The sequence below is a fragment of the Homo sapiens genome, chromosome 9 (assembly GCF_000001405.40).
Source record: "Homo sapiens chromosome 9, GRCh38.p14 Primary Assembly".
Classification (NCBI taxonomy): Eukaryota; Metazoa; Chordata; class Mammalia; order Primates; family Hominidae; genus Homo; species Homo sapiens.
The window spans coordinates 124711863-124732258 of NC_000009.12; the positions used below are offsets into that span (position 1 = coordinate 124711863).

Genomic DNA, 20396 nt, shown 5'->3' on the forward strand with positions numbered 1-20396 from the left:
AAAATCCTCTTGCCTCAGCCTCCTGAGGAGCTGGGACTATAGGCCCCATATATTTTTAGAGTTTTTGTACATGCTCTTAGAATGACCTAAGGGTATACAACTCCCTTCTCCAAGATTTTGAAGCCTAGCTGTACCAGAAAATCTTGTTCCGAGTTTTGCAAGCACAGGTTTTCTATTTTTCAGTCTGAGTGCTCTTCCCTCTTTGGTTAGGGCCTGTTGCCACCTAATGGACAAAACTGGCATACCCACCAATACATTAACACAGGTTCTCACCTCTGTGCTTCCAGAATAGACCACTAGATGGAGACTTAAAAACTGAAGGAGGAGGAGAGAGCGCTTATGCCCATCTAGAAAGCCTATTAGTTGGTTTATGACTACACGAAAAATTAAACTAATGCAGATTCAACAAATAAAAGGGAATATGCCCAAAATGAGAAATTAAGGAAAAATAAAAGTCTTCTGGAGGCTGGGTGTAATGGCTCACACCTGTAATCCCAGCACTTTGGGAGGCCGAGGCAAGGGGACCACTTGAGGCCAGGAGCTGGAGACCGGACTGGTCAACAGGGCGAAACCCCTTCTCTACTAAAAATACAAAAATTAGCCAGGTAGGTGACACACGCCTGTAGTCCCAGCTACTCAGGAGGCTAAGGCACAAGAATCGCCTGAACCTGGGAGGCGAAGGATGCAGTGAGCCAAGATCACGCCACTGCACTCCAGCCTGGGCGACAGAACAAGACCCTGTCTCAAAAAAAAAAAAAAGTCTTTTGAAGGCAGTATGGCACCAAGATTAAAACATAGGTTTTGGCTCTTCTACACATAATCACAAAAATCCATTAACAAAATATTACCAAGTTGAATTCAGCAACACTGGAAAATTATAATACATCACTGACCACATGAGGTCTATTTCAGCATTAAAAGGCTAGCCTGAGTTTCAAAATTCAATCAGTGTAATTCACCATATTAAGTCTAAACAATCTAGATGGAGAATTGGTATGAAAACATAACTGATTTACAGATTAGTAATTAATTATTAATCTGAAAACAACACCACTCATGATAAAAAAAACTCTTAGCAAACTAGCAACAGCATTTTCTCAAGTTGATAAAGGGCATCTACAAAAACCCTACAGCTTCCTGATTTCAAAATTTACTACAAAGCTACAGTAATCAAAACAGTCTGGTATTACCATAATGACAGACATAGACCAATGGAATAAAATAGGGAGCCCAGTACTAAACCCTCATATATATGGTCAAACAATTTTTGTCAAGGTTACCAAGACCACTCAATGGAGAAAGAATAATCACATGGTACTGATAAAATAATATCCACATGAGAAAAAAATGAAGCTGGCCTTTACCTTTATACCATACACAAAAATTAACTCAAAATCGATCAAAGACTTAAACATAAGCCCTAAACTATAAAACTTTTAGAAAAAAAAAACAGGAGATAGCTTCATGACAATGGGTTTGGCAATGGTTTATTGGATATGATACAAAAAGCATAGGCAACAAAAGAAAAAACTGCTCGATAACATGAAAATGTAAAACTTTTGTGCATCGACGGACACAACAGAATGAAAAAGCAACCTGCAGAATGGATGAAAATATTTGCAAATCATGTATCTGTTAAGAGATTAATATACAGAACACAGAAAGAACTCGTATAACTGAAACAAAAACCCATAAAGAATCCAATTAAATAGGCAAAAGACCTCAATAAACATTTCTCCAAAGAAGACACACAAATGGTCAATAAGCACATGAAAAGATGCTCAATATCACTAATCATTAGGGAAATGCAAATCAAAGCCACAATGAGATATTGTCTCACAACCATTAGGAGAGCTACTATCAAAAACACAGTAAATAAGTGTTGGTGAGGATGTGGAGAAATTGGAACCCTAGAGCACTGCTGATGAGAACGTAAAGTGGGGCGGCAGCTATGGAAAACAGTATGGTGATTCCTGAAAAATTAAAAACAGAATTACCATAGGGTCCAGCAATTCCACTTCCAGGTATACACCCCAAAGAATTGAAAGTAGGGACTTGAAGAGAGACATCCATGTATACTCATGTTTACAGCAGCATTATTCACAATAACCAAATGGTGAAAGCAACCCAAGTGTCCATCAATAGGTGAATGGATCAACAAAATGTGGTATATACATACAATGCAATCTTATTCAGCCTCAAAAATGAAGGAAATTCTAACACTATACAACATAGATAAACTTTAGGCACATTATGCTAAGGGAAATAAGCCAGTTACAAAAGGACAAAACTGTATGATTCCACTTAAATGAGGTACCTAGAGTAGACAAATTCATAGAGACAAAAAGTAGAATGGTGGTTACCAGGAGCAGGGGAGAATGGTTATTGTTAATGGGTACAGAGCTTCAGTTTTGCAATATGAGAAGAGTTATGTGGATGGATGCTGGTGATAGCTGCACAACCAGTGTGAATGTACTTAATGCCACTGACCAGCACATTTAAATATGGTTAAGATGGTAAATGCTACGTCATGTATATTTTACCAGAACTCTACAAAATAAAAGAAAGCCCAATAGAGGTGTCATCATACTTGATACTGAAATTGAACTCCTTCCCCCTAAGATTAAGAACAAGGTGAGAACATCACTCTCACCATTTCTATCTATCATTGTACTGGAAATCTTAGCCAGTGCAATAAGAAAAATAAATAAGTCATAAACATCAAAAAGGAAGAAGTAAACTCTCTTTATTCACAGATGTACACATAAAAAGTCCCAAGAAATTTATTTTTTAAAGTTACTAGAACTAACAAATTTAACAATGTCACAAGATACAAATACATAAAAATCAACTGCATTTATATATACTAGCAACAATTGGAAAATAAAATTTAAAAATAATATCATTTACTATAACATTAAAAAACAAAATACTTAAGGATAAAGATGTATAAGATCTCAACACTAAACTTTTTAAAACACTAACAAGAAAAAAGAAAGATGACCTAAATAAGGAGAAAGATACACTGACTTCGTAGATTAGAAGACTCAACATTGGCTGGGCACGGTGACTCATGCCTGTAATCCCAGCACTTTCGGAGGCCGAGGCGGGCAGTTCACAAGGTCAAGAGATCGACACCATCCTGACCAACATGGTAAAACCCCATCACTACTAAAAATAAAAAAACTAGCTTGGCATGGTGGTGCACACCTGTAGTCCCAGCTACTCGGGAGGCTGAGGCAGGAGAATCGCTTGAACCCAGGAGGCAGAGGTTGCAGTGAGCCGAGACCATGCCACTGCATTCCAGCCTGGTGACAGAGTGAGTGAGACTTCGTCTCAGAAAAAAAAAAAAAAGAAGACTCAAGACTCAATATTATTGACTGGGTATGGTGGCTCACACCTGTAAACTCAGTGCTTTGGGAGGCTGAGGTGAGAGGGTAGCTTGTGGCCCTAAATTTAAGACCAGCCTGGACAACATAGTGAGACCCCGTCTCTACAAAAATATATATATATTTTTAGAAAATTGGCCAGATGTAGCAGTGAGTACCTGTAGTCCCAGCTACTCTGGAGGCTAGGCCAAGAGAATCCCTTGAGACCAGGAGTTTGAGGCTGCAGTGAGCTATGGATTGCACCACTGTACTCCAGCCTCAGTAACAGAGTGAGACCTAGTCTCTAAAAAACAAAATAAAATTTTAAAAAATTTAAAAGCAACCCAATATTATTAAGTTGACCACTCTTCCCAAATGGACAGAGTCAATACAATTCAATCAAAATCTCAGCAAGTTTTGTTAAAAAAAGAAAAAAGAAAGTTGATATGCTAATTCTGAAATTTATACGGAAGTGGGGAGAAAAAAAAACACTACAATAGCCAAATAATCAAAACAACTTTGAAAAAGAAGGATGGAGTTGGAGGACTACTTCTATCTGATTTCAAGATCTGTTATAAAGTTATAGTAATCAAGACACTATGGTATTGGTAAAAAGATTAATAGAAGGGAATATAGGGTCTATAAATAGACTCACAATTATTTTTCAGCAAGAGCATCAAAATATTCAACAGCTAGGTGCAGTGGCTCATGCCTAAAATCCCAACACTTTGGGAGGCCGAGGCAGGAGGATTACTTGAGGCCAGGAGTTCGAGACCAGCCTGACCAACACAGTGAAACCCTGTCTCTACCAAAAATTTAAAAATTAGCCTGGCATGGTGGTTGTGCACCTGTGGTCCCAGCTACTTGGGAGGCTGAGGCAGGAGGATTGCTTGGGCCCCAGGAAGAGGAGGCTGCAGTGGGCCATGGTCATGCTACTGTACTCCAGCCTGGGCAGCAGAGTGAGGCCCTGTCTCAAAAAAATAAAATGTAATGAAGAAAGCCTTTTCAACAAATGGTGCCAAACAAATGAATATTCATATTAAAAAGACTTTCATTCCTACCTCATAATACAGAAAAAACAAATTTGAGATCCATTATTATAGACATAGATGTAAAAGCTAAAATAATACTGTTTCTAGTAGAAAATATAGCATATCTCTGCAATCTCAGGTTAGGCCAAGATTTGTAGAGAGGGCACAGAAAATGTTAATCATAAATTAATAAATTGGACTTCATAAAAATTTTAAAGTTCTGTTCCTCACAAAACATGTTAAAAAGTAAAAAGGAGCCACAGACTAGGAGAAAATATTTACAACACATATCTGACGGACTTATATGTTATATGTAGAATAACAAACACCCACCACTCGACAGTTGAACAAAACACATGAATTTCTTTTTTATTTATTTATGTTTTTTGAGACCAAGTCCCGTTCTGTCATCCAGGCTGCAATGCAGTGGTGCAATCTTGGCTCACTGCAACCTCCACCTTTCAGGTTCAAGCAATTCTTGTGCCACAGCCTCCTGAGTAGCTGGGATTACAGGCAGGCACCACCACACCCAGCTAATTTTTGTATTTTTAGTAGAGACGGGGTTTCGCCATGTTGCCTTGCCCACACTGGTCTCGAACTCCTGGGCTCAAGCAATCCACCTGCCTTGGCCTCTCCAAGTGTTGATATTACAGGCGTGAGCCACTGCACTCAGCCACATGAATTTACCAAAAGATTTGAACACTTTTAAGAGATGACACATGAATGACCAATAAGTACATGAAAACGTGACCAATATTATTAGTCATCAAGAAATGCAAGTTTAAACCACATCAATCCTATTACAATGCTCACTAGAGTGACTAAAATTTTAAAAACTAGCAATAACAAATGCTTGCAAAGATGTGAAACTGAAACTCATATACTACTGGAACTAAGATGTATGAACATCTGGGAAATCTGTTCGGAAATTTCATAAAAAGTTTAACATATACCATATCACCCAGTAATTCCTAGATGTATGACTAAGAGAAATAAAAACACAGGTCCATAAAAACCTTATACAAGAAATTTTATAGCTGCTTTATTCATAATAACCAAAAATTAGAAGCAGCCCAGGTATCAACAGGTAAATAAACTATGGTACGGTCAAAGGAATACTCCTCAACAATAAAAAGAAATGAACTACTAACACCAGCAACACATAGATGAGTCTCAAACATCATGCTGAAACAAGCACGAAAGAGCACATATTGTATGACCATATATACATGACATTTTAGAAAACAGGCAAAACTAATCTATCATGATGGAAACCAGAAGTTATTGCTTTTTGGGGTAAGTAGTGGGATGGACTGGGAAAAGTAAAAGGGAATTTTCTGAAGGGATGGAAATGTTCTGTATCTTGATAGAATGTGGATTACTAGGGTGCACACATTTATAAAAATGCTTAACCTTAACACTTTAGATCTATGCGTTTCATTGCATGTAAGTCACGCCTCAATTTTAAAAAGATAAGGACATGGACTTTGGGATCACACAGGGTTCATCTCTGCCACTTACCAGCTGTGTGACCTTGGCCAAGTGTTAAACTGTCAGTTTCCTCATCTGTAAAATGGGGCAGAACAAGAGTTGAGAATAACCTTGTAGAGCTGCCAGGAAGAGTAAATGAGATAAATGTTTTAAAGTCATTAACATACAGTAAATGCTCATCAAATATTAACAAAAAGAAATTAGAAACCTTTTGTCTTGTATTTCCACAAAAGAGAAACATGCAGGACTAGAGCAGCTAACTGCTGGGCAATTCATGTATATTATCTCATTATTTTTTAAAACAACATTTAACAAGAATTACTACTGTTTCAAAGATGAACAAACTGAGCTTCACACGTTGCCTATGCTACTCAGCAAGAAAGCAGGAAGGCCAGGATGCTAACTTTCACTCATGTTTTTTCCACTGTACCATGCACCCATGCATTTCATTAGGGTCGCTTTCAGCAGGTATCCCTGCAACTGTCAGGATAGCCCAATTTATATAAGAAGCTCCCTCCATTATCAATAGTGCTGGCTCAAGCCTCAAGCCTGACACTGAAAAGGAGGCAAATTCTGATGGCTTTACTAGTGAATGGAAGCAGGGTTGCAAGTAGAAGCCTGAAAATGCTGTAGAAGTCTTTTACTTTATTCTCAGACTTCAAAGATGGTTCCTGCTACTTGAGGACTCTGATTCCCCCTTCCTTAGAACAATTTCAAGATAACAGAATTCTGAATGTAAAATCTGTGCTTTAAGTGGAAGCTAGAACCTATTGGCTCAATTTGGCAGAATAGCCATGGAAATCTGGCAGCTAAAATGAGAGAGAATTTTTTAAATGCATGTCTTTTTTCTTAATAATGTGATGTTCTTAAAAACAGAAAACTCAGAGATAATGAAAGATACCCTGTAATCTCATTTTCCCAAAAACACCACTATTAAAATTGGATCACCTTCCAGACTAAAAATTTGCCTTCTCCTTAAGTCTACAGCATCCTACTGCATGAATAACCACAATCCATTTATCGAGTCCCCTATTAAACTTAAATTGTTACCTTTTTTTTTTTTTTTTTTTTTTTTTTTTAAAGACAGGGTCTCGTTCTGCTGCCCAGGCTGGAGTACAGTGGCGCGATCTTGGCTCACTGCAGCCTCCACCTCCTGGGCTCAAGCGATCCTCCCACCTCAGCATCCCCAGTAGCTGGGATGACAGGCATGCACCAGCACGCCTGGTTATCCAATTTTTTTTACTATTATAAATGCTAAAAGAAGCATCTGTAAACATACATTTTTCATAACTGTCAAGTATTTAGGATAAATTCCTAGACGTATGAATTGTTCAATCTAAGTTTTCTTTTGTGGCGGGGAGGGTGGAGACAGGGTCTCACTCTGTTGCCCAGGCTGGAGTGCAGTGGTGCGATCACAACTCACTGTAGCCTCGACCTCCCAGGACCAAGTGATCCTCCCAAGTAGCTGGGACTACAGACATGTGCCGCCACACCCAGCTAATTTTTGTATATTTTGTAGAGATGAGGTTTTGCCATGTTGCCCAGGCTGGTCTCAAACACCTGAGCTCAAGGGATCCACAAAGTGCTGGGATGACAGGAGTGAGCTACCTCTCACCTGGCCTGTAATTTTAAATTTTATATTTTTAAATTTTAAACTGCCAAGTCTGAAAAATTAACCTGCACATTATCAGTTTTAATAGGTATCAGATTACATTTTTAAGAGTTCCCATTTTCCCACACTCTCATCATCCCTAAAAATTATTTAATGTAGGAGCTGAAAACTCAAATGCCTACAGAAGACTAGCAGGAAACGTAAATGGGTAAAGGAGGCCACCAAGGTTCTGTGAAAACCTAAGAGTATACGCTCATTTAAAGAAGGCAGCAGGCTGAGCACAGTGGCTCACACCTGTAATCTCAGCACTCTGGGAAGCCGAGGTGCGCGGATTGCTTGAGTCTAGGAGTTGGAAACCAGCCTGAGCAACCTGGTGAAACCCCACCTCTACAAAAAAACACAAAGATTAGCCCACCGCGGTAATGCGCGCCTATAGTCCCAGCCACTCGGGAGACTGAGGTGAGAAGAACTGCTTGAGCCCAGGAGGTCGAGGCTGCAGTGAGCCATGATCGCACCATTGCACTCCAGCCTGGGTGACAAAAGACCGTGTCCCCAATCCATATAAAGAAGGCAGCCACTACTCTGTTCCAGCCAAGAGATGCCATATAAAAATCTGAGCTCAATGTTAGATATTACAATTTATCAAGAAAGCCAGAAATCCAAAGTTTTTTGAAACTCTTGAACGTTTTTGGGTTTTTTTGAAATGCAGTTTTGCTCTTGTCACCCAGGCTAGAGTGCAATGACGCAATCTCAGCTCACTGCGGCCTCCACCTCCAGGGTTCAAGCAATTCTCCTGCCTCCATCAGCCTCCCAAGTAGCTGGGATTACAAGCATGCGCCACCACGTCCAGGTAATTTTGTATTTTTAGTGGAGATGGGGTTTCACCATGTTGGCCAGGCTGGTCTCGAACTCCTGACCTCAGGTGATCCACCCACCTCAGCCTCCCAAAGTGCTAGGATTACAGGCGCGAGCCACCACGCCCGGCCATCTTGAACATTTTAAATGTTGACAACTAACATGATTTTATTTAAACATCCTGGAAGTCAAACAAAATACATCTATAGGGCAGACTACACTTAGGACATGGAATTTTGTACTAACAGATGAAAAAGATCTTTAACACTGTATTTTCACTTTGAATCTTATTTTGCAGTTTTGATTTTCTTATGCTTACCAACAAAGCACATTCAATTTTGGTTCACAATGACTGTCGGCTCTCTTCAAAGAGAGAGGCTTATCTTTTCTTTCAGATCATATCTATGACAAATACTGGACCAAAATAAAACAAAAACAAAGTAGCTTCAGGTAAAGAGGCAAAGAGTGGTCCCGGTTGACCAAAGAGTACCCAGAAAGGGCCTCAGTTAGAACTGAGTTATTATAGCCTCAGCATGCTAAGAATATGTGAGATATTTAGAAAAAAAAAGTTAATTTGTAAAACTATGTACAACTTTGAAGACAGTGACTTTAATCTAGGGTATCCCCCCACTACTGATACGTTTGCCTAACACAGAAGGTTTTCTCTTTGGCAAGAGTTCAAAAAAGGAAGAGAAGAATTCCCATGTATTCCCTTGTTATCAAGCACTGAATTTAAGCAACCCCTTTCAGCTTTTTTTTAATAAAATAAAACAAATGTTTATTAAAAGTCTTTGTCTCATCTGAAAATGTTACTGCAATATTGCTCCCATGGAAAGAACAACTGCAGAACCTAACTAGCCTCAGAATTTCTTCTCATTCCTTCTTAGTCATTCATTAAAATCTCCAGACTTAGATATTCAAGCAATCCCTTCACCCACCAGAGATAGTGGCAGACATCCAAGACTATCCAAGGACCCAACAACCGCCTTTGAATGCAACTATCTTTTCATCAACTGTAAACAAGTGCTAAACTCTCGGCTCCATAGGGAGTCCCTACCAAGTCAGTATAAACTCAAATAGGGGCAGAGGTCAAGGGGATGAGAGTTCACCCTAAGCTCTGGATCTCATACCACCCCTACCCTGATCAAAACAATCCTTATCAGAAGGGAACTCCTCAGCAAAAGGCCACATTCAGAAGGCTTGATCTAGCAGCAATGCCACAGAATCAACTGAAGCTTTGGAAGCAGGCACTCGGAACTGTTATGAATGTGACATAGCAAAATCACTAACAGTGTTGCAGAGAAAAAGGGACATAAAGGGAGGAAACAAGGGAGATTTGTGAACTATCTTAAGTTGCTTCAGGAAAGAACTCACTTGAAAAATAGTGGAATAATCCTGAATCTGAGCCACAGAAGACAACTCGGGAACCTATTCCACAATGAATCATTCTACTTTGTGTCCAAAACCACCCTAATACACGCAGAAGAGGCCCAGATGACACTTCAAAAATAGTCTTCATTCTTTTACACAAAAACCCTGATTATATATGTTATAAATCATTACACTGCCTTAAAGTCTTCCACCATCAGCATTTGAGATCTGTCACAATCAAGACAGCTAGAGACAGGATAGAAATTAATTATTTAATAAAGCAGGGGCTCTGAAGTCTCAGATACTTCACTAGGTACTTTGGGGTGAGTCATTTAATCTCTTCAGGCCTCATAGTTCTCATCTGTAAGATGGGGATTGTATCTTTTTAAACAAATCTTATGAATGCTTAATAAAAAATGCATGTGAAACATTCTGTGCATAGTAAATATTAGCTATCCTTACTATTATGTGGTAAAAGCCACATCATATTTTGTGTCTGCCTTCCTGATTAAACCAGAGTCCTTTCTGGGCAAGAACTATGTCTCAGCTTGGCACCCAAAGTAGGGAGGGAGAAAAGAACAATAAGTGCGTTAAATGAACTAAGTATTACCAAGTCAAACTTAAAATCAGATCATTTTATATGCTATAATCCTTCTCACACTTACTGAATATACGCAAAGTGCCTGGCACACAAGGAATACCAAATACACAAGTAAATGGTAATTTCCTTTTCTTCCTTCATCTGTAACATTCAGTCTTAAGTTCACTCTCTGCAGACATTTGGGCTTATATAAACTACTTTCTGAGACCAAAAATTGTGACACATAGTTTGACAACTAGGAATAAATCCATTAGAACATGTGACAGAATACTGGAATTTTAGGGTACGCTAGCTGAGATGTACACATTTCTCTTTTGTAGCTGGAAGAATCCACAAAAAAATATCTTTGGGATCCCAAGTCACGTGACAGTTGAATGCAAAGCCAGAGCAAGTTCGTGGTGCCAGGCTTTCTTTTTATCTTGCCTATTTTTTATCTTGTTTTTTTCATCTTGCCTGTTCATCCCACCAACACATGTAGAACTCTCCTTGGTGGGCATCTACCAATATGGCAAGATATACCAAAATTTAATTTACGTTTTTTCTGAGACAGGGTCTCACTCCCGACACCCAGGCTAGAATGCAGTGGTGCAATCTCTTGGTTCAGTGCAGCCTCAACCTCCAGGGCCTCAGGTGATCCTCCCACCTCAGCCTCCCAAGTAACTGGGACTACAGGTACACGCCTAGAGTCGGGGTTTCATCATGTTGTCCAGGCTGGTCTCAAACTCCTAGGCTCAAAATAATCTGTCCACCTTGGCCTCCCAAAGTGCTAGGATTACAGGTGTGACCCACCACACCCAGCACTTAACTTTCAAGTCTCTTTTAAAATACTCATATAAATATATATACATACACACTATATTACATATAGTGACATATACTATATATTAATACATACTATTTATTATACACATTATATATATGCTATATCATTTATATAGGTCCTTGATCATTAGAATATACTTTATTTTTTAAAGTCTGAGTAAACAGGAATCCATGGTAATAGTCAGATTTTAAATTCTACAAACTTTTTCTTCAGTATGCTTTCTGTAAGACCTTGCTATTGACCAAAAAGAAAGTGTGTAATTCGAGTATCTGTTTTAAATAAGCAGAAGGTTAACATGTTCAGTCTCCTAAGAGGTTAAATGTGTTGGCAGATGGTCATTTGGGAGGTTACCTGCTATTGGCTGGGGAAGAGGACCAAAACACCCTAACAGTCACTGAGATGGTAAAGAAGTCCCGACCAAAAGAGTCAGCAGCATATGAGCTCTTCTATTCCTGTGACTGAACTATTTAATTGAGTCTATGGTCATACACTCTGAACACGCCCAATCTCATCTGAACTATTTACTTGAAGCAGTAACTTACACCTGCCAACACCTTTGTGTCATTAAGAAACACAGGCCAGCTTAATTGAATAAAACAGTTTCAACAGCCCATTAGTGCAGAAAGACTGAGAATTTCAACATTATACTACATAGCCTAGAACAGTATACACTTAATAGTATTTACCATTTGTCAAGCACTATTCCAAACTTTAAATATATTACATTCACTTAATCCTCACAGCAACCCAATAAAATAAAAATACATTTTACTGTCCTCATTTCATAGATGAGAAAAGGAAGGCAGAGAGTTTAAGTAATTTAACCAAGATTACAGTGAAGCCAAGTTGAATCCAAGCAATCTTGAGCCAGAGTCTATGTTCTTAATTATAAGAGCAGCTTTGGCTTGCATAAAAAAACTAAAGCACTCATTCGAAATGCAGACAAAAAATTTATACACAAACGTGTTCACTGTGGCATTATTTATGATGCAGAAAAAACTGAAAATCTAAATGCTCAACAATAGGAGGATGGTTAAATAAATCATGATAAAGCTATTTACTTATTTAATGAAATATCCTTCCGTTAAAAACATTTGTGAAAATCGTTTCATGACTTGGGACAATGTTCCCAATGTAATACAGAGTGGGGGAAAACAAACAGGATACAAAAATTGCATATATAGTATAGATTCCTAATTATGTAAAAGATGAGCTCGGACACAACCTGGAAGGACATACTCTCAAACGTGAAGCAATGGTTATTTCTAGGTGGTGGGATTAGAGATGCTTCTATTTTCTTTTAGTGTTTTCCATAGTGAACCATACATTATTCTACTACCAGTTTAAACAAAAACAATGTTTTTTTCTTTTAATCAAGCTACACCAAGATCCTCAACCAGCTGGTAAAAAAAGAGAAAAAAAAAAACCACACAGCTAAAAAGCTTCTAATATGTCTAACTTCAAGCAGGTACTTTCCTTGGGATTATATCCTTTGAACATCAGACAACATAGCACATACCAAAAAAAAAAAAAAATTCAATCTTCAACTTTGGAAACTGAATTAAAGTAAGTACTTTCAATTTTGGTCAATGTTTACTCTCAGTGTAATTACTTGTAGGATTATGTTACAAGAGGAGAAATGGACTTCATTATATGTAAGCCAAAAATTCAGGAACAGTATTTCTGAAATAGATAATAAGAGACAAAAAGTTTGGCGAGGAAGAACAGCTGTTGCTAATCCAACTATTTACCCTTTGACCCTCTATCTGGCCAGTAACCGAACACTATCAACTGTTTCCCTTTATTATGTGCTGTTTACAATCCCTGAGAGGCATGAAAGGAATTAATAATTTAGCCTAGAAAGCTGACAGCCTTTATTGGGAAGCCCCTTGTCTATGGGACAGAAATCAGAGCAAGTCCTGAAGTCACAGGTCCCTTTACTGTTCCTGTTTTATAGCCTAACTGGCCCCCAAACATAAATCAATTATTTCTCCTGTTTTAAGCAACAATGACTTCTATTCTCTAACTTCCCTTGTATCAAGTCGGTCCTTGTTCTCTTGAGTTTTACAGCTACACGGTAAACACGACGGCCGAGGAAAAAACTCGGGGAGCAGGGCAGACAGGGGTTATTTGGAAACAGAAGCACAGAAAGGTTATGCTGTTTTGAACTTCTCTTGACCTTTGACTGCCCTTGTCCCTAGCTTATGCTAATGGACATGGTACAGGGACACTTCTTGTAGAAATGAACTTAGCCTGAACCTGTGCCATAACATTGGACTCCAGGAAGTCCAGGAATCATAGGAAGGCAGCCAGAGTGTGAACAGCTGCCCATATTCTGAGCATGGCTGCCCATCTGCTTTATCACACTAAAGGTATTTAAAAAAAAAGAAAAAAAAAAAGCCAAGCCATTTAATTGGACAAAGTCAGTCTTTCCTCAACTAGTTCCCACATGACACCTGCTGTCCCAAACCTGCTGCCTACAACCACTGCCATGCACAACTGGAAATTAGCAACGAAGTATTTCCTGTTCCAAAATAAGGGAGTGTGAGCAGGCTTTCCTATCAGGAATCTGGGGAATGGGGGGCAATATTTGGGCCTCCAAATTCCAAAGATACAACACAAGGAAATCTGTAATATCCTCAAAAGTCATGCGGGGCTCGGCCTGGTAATCCCAGCACTTTGGGAGACCAAGGCAGGAGGATCACTTGAGCCCAGGAGTTTGAGACCAGCCTGGAGAGCATGGCAAAAATTCGTCTCTAGTCAACTTAAGAGAAAAATACCAAATTTTAAAAACTTTTTAAAATACTGACAAATTCGGATCAAATTTGAGGGAATAAAAAATGTTAGACCAAAGGAGTTTGCTGGTTGTGTCATTATTTAATGATCAAAGTATAGTGTGTATGCCTTGTAACAGACTTGTTGACTACAGGCTTAATGTAAATGAGAATCTTGCCAGATGTAGCTACTTAAGGGAAAAGAAGGGTTTTTAACAGAAATGAACTTTTGATTAGTTCTTACATTTTTATGGTACCAATCACAGGGCAAAATTTCCTGAATATTGGGTGATGTCAAAGGCATATCATACTTGAGGAAATCAGGCCAAGTATAGCTCAGTAATTACATTCATAAACACTCAAGTTTTTTTAGTTGGGGTCATGTCAAACCCTCACATCGTTGTTAAGTAGTGACTGTAACTGTGTATGTCCTTAGTGGTAGGTGAGCACCAGTCTCCATGACCAAAAATGTCCCCTAAAATCCTTTGAAAAAGCCACTAGTTCTGTGAATTGTCCTTCTCCCTCCTGCCCCTAACTGTCCTGCACCTCTAGCCTACATTAGCATATTTCTCATGTAATGTATTTTGCTGGTAAGTTCATCGGTTAGCTGCATCCTTCAGCTATTCCTTTATATTGGGGAGCAAAACCTTTAGATTGGAGGAAGTGGAGATGAAGATGGATTGATTCAGCTCACGTTCCATGATTGCTTCTTAGTGAAAAGCTACATCGGCCACATTTCAGATTTTCACTTTTGCAATTTGGGGAGGGTGGAGAGAGGTAGACTTTTTGCTTGTTTTATAAAGTCCTCTCAGTAAGGAGTGTTTGAGTTGAAGAGGCATCTAATTCGAGACCACTCATGTTCTTTGTAACTTAAGCTTTGACCAAGAAATTCTTCACTTCTTCTCACTTCTTCACTTCTTCCCAATATACAGTAAATACATGAGCCAGTCATCCATACACTAAAGCCTAGTTGAGAAAAACCTTTGATTCAGGATGGCTGGGTTACTAACCTTGGAATGTAAGAGATCTGGTTTTGAATGTAAAATTCGTAACACACCAACAAGTGTTAAAAACTTTTTGCTCTGGTCAGTTACAGGTGGATCCCAATAATCTGTTTTTGGTTTTCTGATGGAAATAATAGAACTAGGGGAAATCAAATCTGGCAGGTGTCTACAATATTAGAAGAGGGTATAAGGGCACAGTTTAACACTAAGCTCTTTTGATATGTAAGTTCTTATACTTCCAGAAACTCTGCATTCCAGATCTACATACTAAATGCTGAATCATTTTTAAATGGGCTCTTGATTAATAGACCTGTATTTTTTAGTGCCTCCTATGTTGTCCATTCGTCTAAAATGAAAGCTCTTTTTTGCACTGCAAAACTACAACATATGTCATCTTATTTTCCCTGAGTAATTCAAGTATAGTGCAATGGAAAATGTTTAGTAGCTTGTGGGAAAAAACCCAAAAAGTTTTACACAATTGTTTGTAGTTACATTTAGGATGGCCTTACTCCTTTGGAGAAGAGTGAAATTTGTTTTTTTGCCATGTGATGAAGACCACTGTGATTTTTTTATAAAGTAGATAATACTTAAAATGGCATAATAATTCTGTACTTGAATTTGTACTGTTAACAGCACATTTGGAAGATTTTTAAACTTTTTATTATTGTATTATAACTAGCATTCAGTTATTATTTTGGATATTTAAGGGTTCCATTACGTTAACATTGTATTTGGACAAAGTATAACCAAATTAGCCAGTCTGTTTTCTTCCATGTTTAATCAGAAGTGAGAGATAGAAGTACTTCAAATTCAGCAGGCCAGCAAGCAATTGGCTTAAAATTCGCTTTCTTAAATATTGTGACTCTTATGCTCTCCGCTTTTTAATGACTTTATTTATTTATTTATTTTTAATACAGGGTCTCGCTCTGTCACCCAGGCTGGAGTGCAGTGGCACGATCTTGGTTCACTGCAACCTCTGCCTCCCAGGTTCAAGCGATTCTCCTGCCTCAGCCTCCCAAGTAACTGAGATTATAGGCATGTGCCACCATGGCCAGTTTATTTTTTGCATTTTAGTAGAGACGGGGTTTCACCATGTTAGCCAGGATGGTCTCGATCTCCTGACCTCATGATCTGCCCACCTCAGCCTCCCACAGTACTAGGATTACAGGTATGAGCCACCATGCCTGGCCTAATGACTTCATTTTTATTTTTTATTTTTATTTTTATTTTTGTATTTATTTATTTTTTTCTTGAGACATAGTCTCACTCTGTCACCCAGGCTGGAGTGCAGTGGCATGATCTCAGCTCACTGCAAGCTCTGCCTCCCGGGTTCACACCATTCTCCTGCCTCAGCCTCCCGAGTATCTGGGACTACAGGTGCCTACCACCACACCTGGCTAATTTTTTTTTGTATTTTTAGTAGAGACGGGGTTTCACTGTGTTAGCTGGGATGGTCTGGATCTCCTGACCTCGTGATCCACCCACCTTGGCCTCCCAAAATGCTGGGATTACAGGCATGAGCCACCGCGCCCAGCCATGACTTCATTTTTAAAGTACTTGCGGCCAGGCACGGTGGCTCACGCCTGTAATCCAAGCACTTTGGGAGGCTGAGGCAGGTGGATCATGAGGTCAGGAGTTCAAGACCAGCGTGGCCAAGATGGTGAAACCCCATCTCTACTAAAAAACAGAAAAATTAGCTGGGCGCAGTGGCAGGCGCCTGTAATCCCAGCTACTCGGGAGGCTGAGGCAGGAGAATCGCTTGAACCCGGGAGGCAGAGTTTGCAGTGAGCCGAGATGGCACCACTGCACTCTAGCCTGGGTGACAGAGCGAGACTCCGCCTCAAAAAATAAATAAATAAATAAATAAATAAATAAATAAAGTACTTGCTCAGTCACTTGAGAGAAAATGCTTGGGGTAGTTTTTCCATCCTCAAACTTAATGTTTTTACTAGTTCACAGGGTTTGGAAGAGTATGCACCAATCACTAAGACTGCTTCAGAGTTTGCAATTTTGTATGTTTCATTGCCAAAGAAGGCTTAGTGGTTGTTGACTGTAGTATAAGTCACCTTTCTGTAGCATAAGATTTGATTTTCTTATACTTACTCCACTTGTTATCCATCACTGATTATTTGGGTTAAACTGGACTCATTTCAAGCAGTTTGCCTTTGTTGTTCAAATACGTGATGAGAAACTTAATATTGTAATTTGACTTGAGCCATAAAACACATTTTAATATTAGCTTGTATTATATTTATTAAGCTTGTTTAGTGGGAAAAAAACTTACTAAAACCTAGATAAGTCTAGATTAAGCCAGTTTAGGTGTATTTTCTATTTTAGTGATGGATCGTATCATAAAAATAGAGATAAGTTGGGAAGATATATTGATTATGCTGTTCTATTGAGGGAAAGGTCACGTATTTGGAAATTTAAATTTTTGTTTATTGTGTTCACATCATAGTATATAAGCATCATTTACAGTTTGGCTATGAGAACTTTTCTGGTATGTTTATGGAAAATGTATGAAAGAAACAAGTTTTGATTATATTTTTATATTTGTAAAGTAAAAGTTCGGTTAAAATGATCACTGTTCTTTTTTTTATCATTTCAATAAAAAATATTTGAAAGAGAAAAAAAATACAAAAGTTAGCCAGGCATGTGGTGTGCACATGTAGTCACAGCTACTCAGGAAACTGAGGTGGAAGGATCACCTGAGCCCATGAGGTCAAGACTGCAGTGAGCCATGACTATGCCACTGCACTACAGCTTGGACAAAAGAGTAAGACCCTGTCTCAAAAAAAATTAAATTAAATAAACAAAAGTCAAATGGAATTAACATAGGAGATGTTATTCTTTCCCAGTCAGAATTCCCAGAATATGCAGTATCAAAAACCACAGCCAATTTAACACAACACACATAGCCCATCTCAGTCTTGATGCTTCCTATCACTTGGTAGGGCTGAACATGCTCATTTGAACCCCAAAACTGGTACAAACTGAAATAAAATTTTATTTTGTCTAATTTTTTTTTTTTTTTTTTGAGACGGAGTCTCGCTCTTGTTGCCCAGGCTGGAGTGCAATGGCACGATCTCGGCTTACCGCAACCTCCACCTCCCAGGTTCAAGCAATTCTCCTGCCTCAGCCTCCCGAGTAGCTGGGATTACAGGCATGCGCCACCACAACCCAGCTAATTTTGTTTTTTTAGTAGAGATGGGGTTTCTCAATATTGGTCAGGCTGGTCTTGAACTCCTGACCTCGGGTGATCCGCCTGCCTCAGCCTCCCGAAGTGCTGGGATTACAGGCGTGAGCCACCACGCCTGGCCTAATTATTTCTAGAATAATCAGATCCTTATGTATTTCTTCAAAGAGAAAGATTAAACTACTACTAACTTCCCAATATAGAAATTACTGAGAATATTACCCACATACGCTAAGTACAAATTTTTTGGTTTGTTTTTGAGACAGGGTCTTGCTCTGTGTCACCTAGGCTGGAATGCAGTGGTGTGATCATGGCTCAACTGCAGCCTCCTCCTCCTTAAGCAATCCTCCCACCTCACCTTCTCAAGTAGGTGGGACCACAAGCACATGCCACCACACCTGGATAATTTTTAAATTTTCTTTGCAGAGACGGGGCTCCCTATGTTGCCCAGGCTGGTCTCAAACTCCTGATCCTGGGCTCAAATGATCCTCCCGCTTTGGCCTCCCAAAGTGCTGGAATTACAGGCATGAGCCATCATGCCCTGCCAGTAAGTACAATTTTTTAGTCTTTTTTTTTTTTTTTTTTGGTGACTCCTATTCTATACTGATGTATAAAATTATGTCTCAATGTCTGTTCATTCTCATGGAATAGAGAGGTCTATAAATTGCCATATCTAGCTAGGAATTTTATGAAGAAATGTTTAATGAGCTGGTATTACTTAACCCAGAAAGAAGAATTCAACAATAATTTTTCTGAGAATATCAAGGACCTTTCTCAGAAAATGGGCATTAACCATTTTCAATTGCTACTAGGTGCAGAAAAAGAGAATACATTTGGGTACTAAATGCTAAACTAGAGGTTTATAAAATGTCCTTTCAAATATTTCCTAACACACTGATAACATACAAGAACAAGAGCTATACTTATTTATCTGTGTATCCCTAGAGTCTAGAGAACTGGGTGTGGAGCAGAGAGAACACTCAGTGCTTAACAAACTGAGTTATCAACTATCTAGCATGTTTTATGTGTAGTTGTCTGAAAGGTTACAGGGCATCTCAATGTCCTTCCTAGTGTTCAAAAATGCTTCTAAGAAAGGACCATGGCCAGGTGCAGTGGTTCACGCCTGTAATCCTAGCACTTTGGGAGGCCAAGGCAGGCGGATCACAAGGTCAGGAGTTTGAGACAAACCTGACCAATATGGTGAAACCCCGTCTCTACTAAAAATACAAAAATTAGCCAGCCATGGTTGCGCACGCCTGTAGTCCCAGCTACTCCGGAGGCTGATGCAGAAGAATCACTTGAACCCGGGAGTCAGAGGTTGCAGTGAGCTGACATCGTGCCACTGCACTCCAGCCTGGGTGACAGAGCGAAACTCCATCTCGAAAAAAAAAAAAAAAGAAAGGACCATGACTCCAGAAAAATAACTGAATTTATCTTTTCCTCCCCTAAGCAAAGGCTACTCATAAGAGAACAGAAAACACAGCTGGACCTCGAATAACACGTTTCAACTACACAGGTCCACTTCTACGCAGACTTTTTTCAATAAAAGTTATACCAGGTGTGCCTGCCTCTCCTGCCTCCCCTTTCACCTCCTCTACCTCTTTCACCTCTGCCACTCAAGAGCAAGACCAACCCCTCTTTCTCCTCCTTCAGCATGAAGGTGGTGAGGATGAAGACCTTAACGATGATTCACTTCTATTAATGAAGAGTAAATATATTTTGTCTTCCTTATGACTTTCTTAACAACATGTTCTCTTCTCTAGTGTACTTTATTGTAACAATATAGAATATAATACATATAACATACAAAATTATGTTAATCTACTGATTATGTTATCGGCCAGGCTTCTAGTCAACAGTAAGTTATTAATAAAGTTTTTGAGGAGTCAAAAGTTATAAGTGGACTTTCAACTGTGCAGGGGGTTGTCATCCCTAACCCCCACATTGTTTAAGGGTCAACCGTACTATATACACCTATAGCTGCTGGTATACTGGGGCTATACTATCTAATACAAAACTGATTCTGAAATTTACAACTTTTAAAAAGACAAATATATTTCCCTGGTGTTTGATAAGCATCATGAGAACTATTTTGCCTAAAAATTAATAAGTATTAGTTGCAACATGGACATTTATACTAATAAGGAGGGCAGAGGCGAATATGTGAGAAGGTCCACCACCTCAGAGCTTGAATCAGCTTCACGATGATGGAAAGGTAAGCTTTATCACTGATCTCAACAGCAGACTGGTGGCAAAGAGCCAGCCGTAAC

The 20396-nt window shown here is 39.1% G+C and overlaps 1 protein-coding gene and 1 long non-coding RNA gene across 5 annotated transcripts in view, besides 3 other annotated features; both read right to left on the reverse strand.

The window, feature by feature from the left end:
- Positions 1-20396, reverse strand: part of NR6A1 (nuclear receptor subfamily 6 group A member 1) — a 254037-nt gene that overhangs the window by 194588 nt on the left and 39053 nt on the right. The window lies entirely within an intron of this gene.
- Positions 1472-15875, reverse strand: LOC124902269 (uncharacterized). Its single transcript, XR_007061772.1, has 2 exons — positions 5921-15875; positions 1472-1973 (listed from the first exon to the last, which is right to left on the reverse strand). It is a non-coding gene; the product is annotated as an uncharacterized LOC124902269 (long non-coding RNA).
- Positions 9102-9611: an enhancer, noted in NCBI's record as "OCT4-NANOG hESC enhancer chr9:127483243-127483752 (GRCh37/hg19 assembly coordinates)". NCBI's record gives its function as "activates a minimal SCP1, AML or CMV promoter by ChIP-STARR-seq in primed H9 embryonic stem cells {active_cell/tissue: H9 hESC(primed)}" and the evidence as "EXISTENCE:reporter gene assay evidence [ECO:0000049][PMID:30033119]".
- Positions 16052-16553: an enhancer, noted in NCBI's record as "H3K4me1 hESC enhancer chr9:127490193-127490694 (GRCh37/hg19 assembly coordinates)". NCBI's record gives its function as "activates a minimal SCP1, AML or CMV promoter by ChIP-STARR-seq in naive H9 embryonic stem cells {active_cell/tissue: H9 hESC(naive)}" and the evidence as "EXISTENCE:reporter gene assay evidence [ECO:0000049][PMID:30033119]".
- Positions 16554-17053: an enhancer, noted in NCBI's record as "H3K4me1 hESC enhancer chr9:127490695-127491194 (GRCh37/hg19 assembly coordinates)". NCBI's record gives its function as "activates a minimal SCP1, AML or CMV promoter by ChIP-STARR-seq in naive H9 embryonic stem cells {active_cell/tissue: H9 hESC(naive)}" and the evidence as "EXISTENCE:reporter gene assay evidence [ECO:0000049][PMID:30033119]".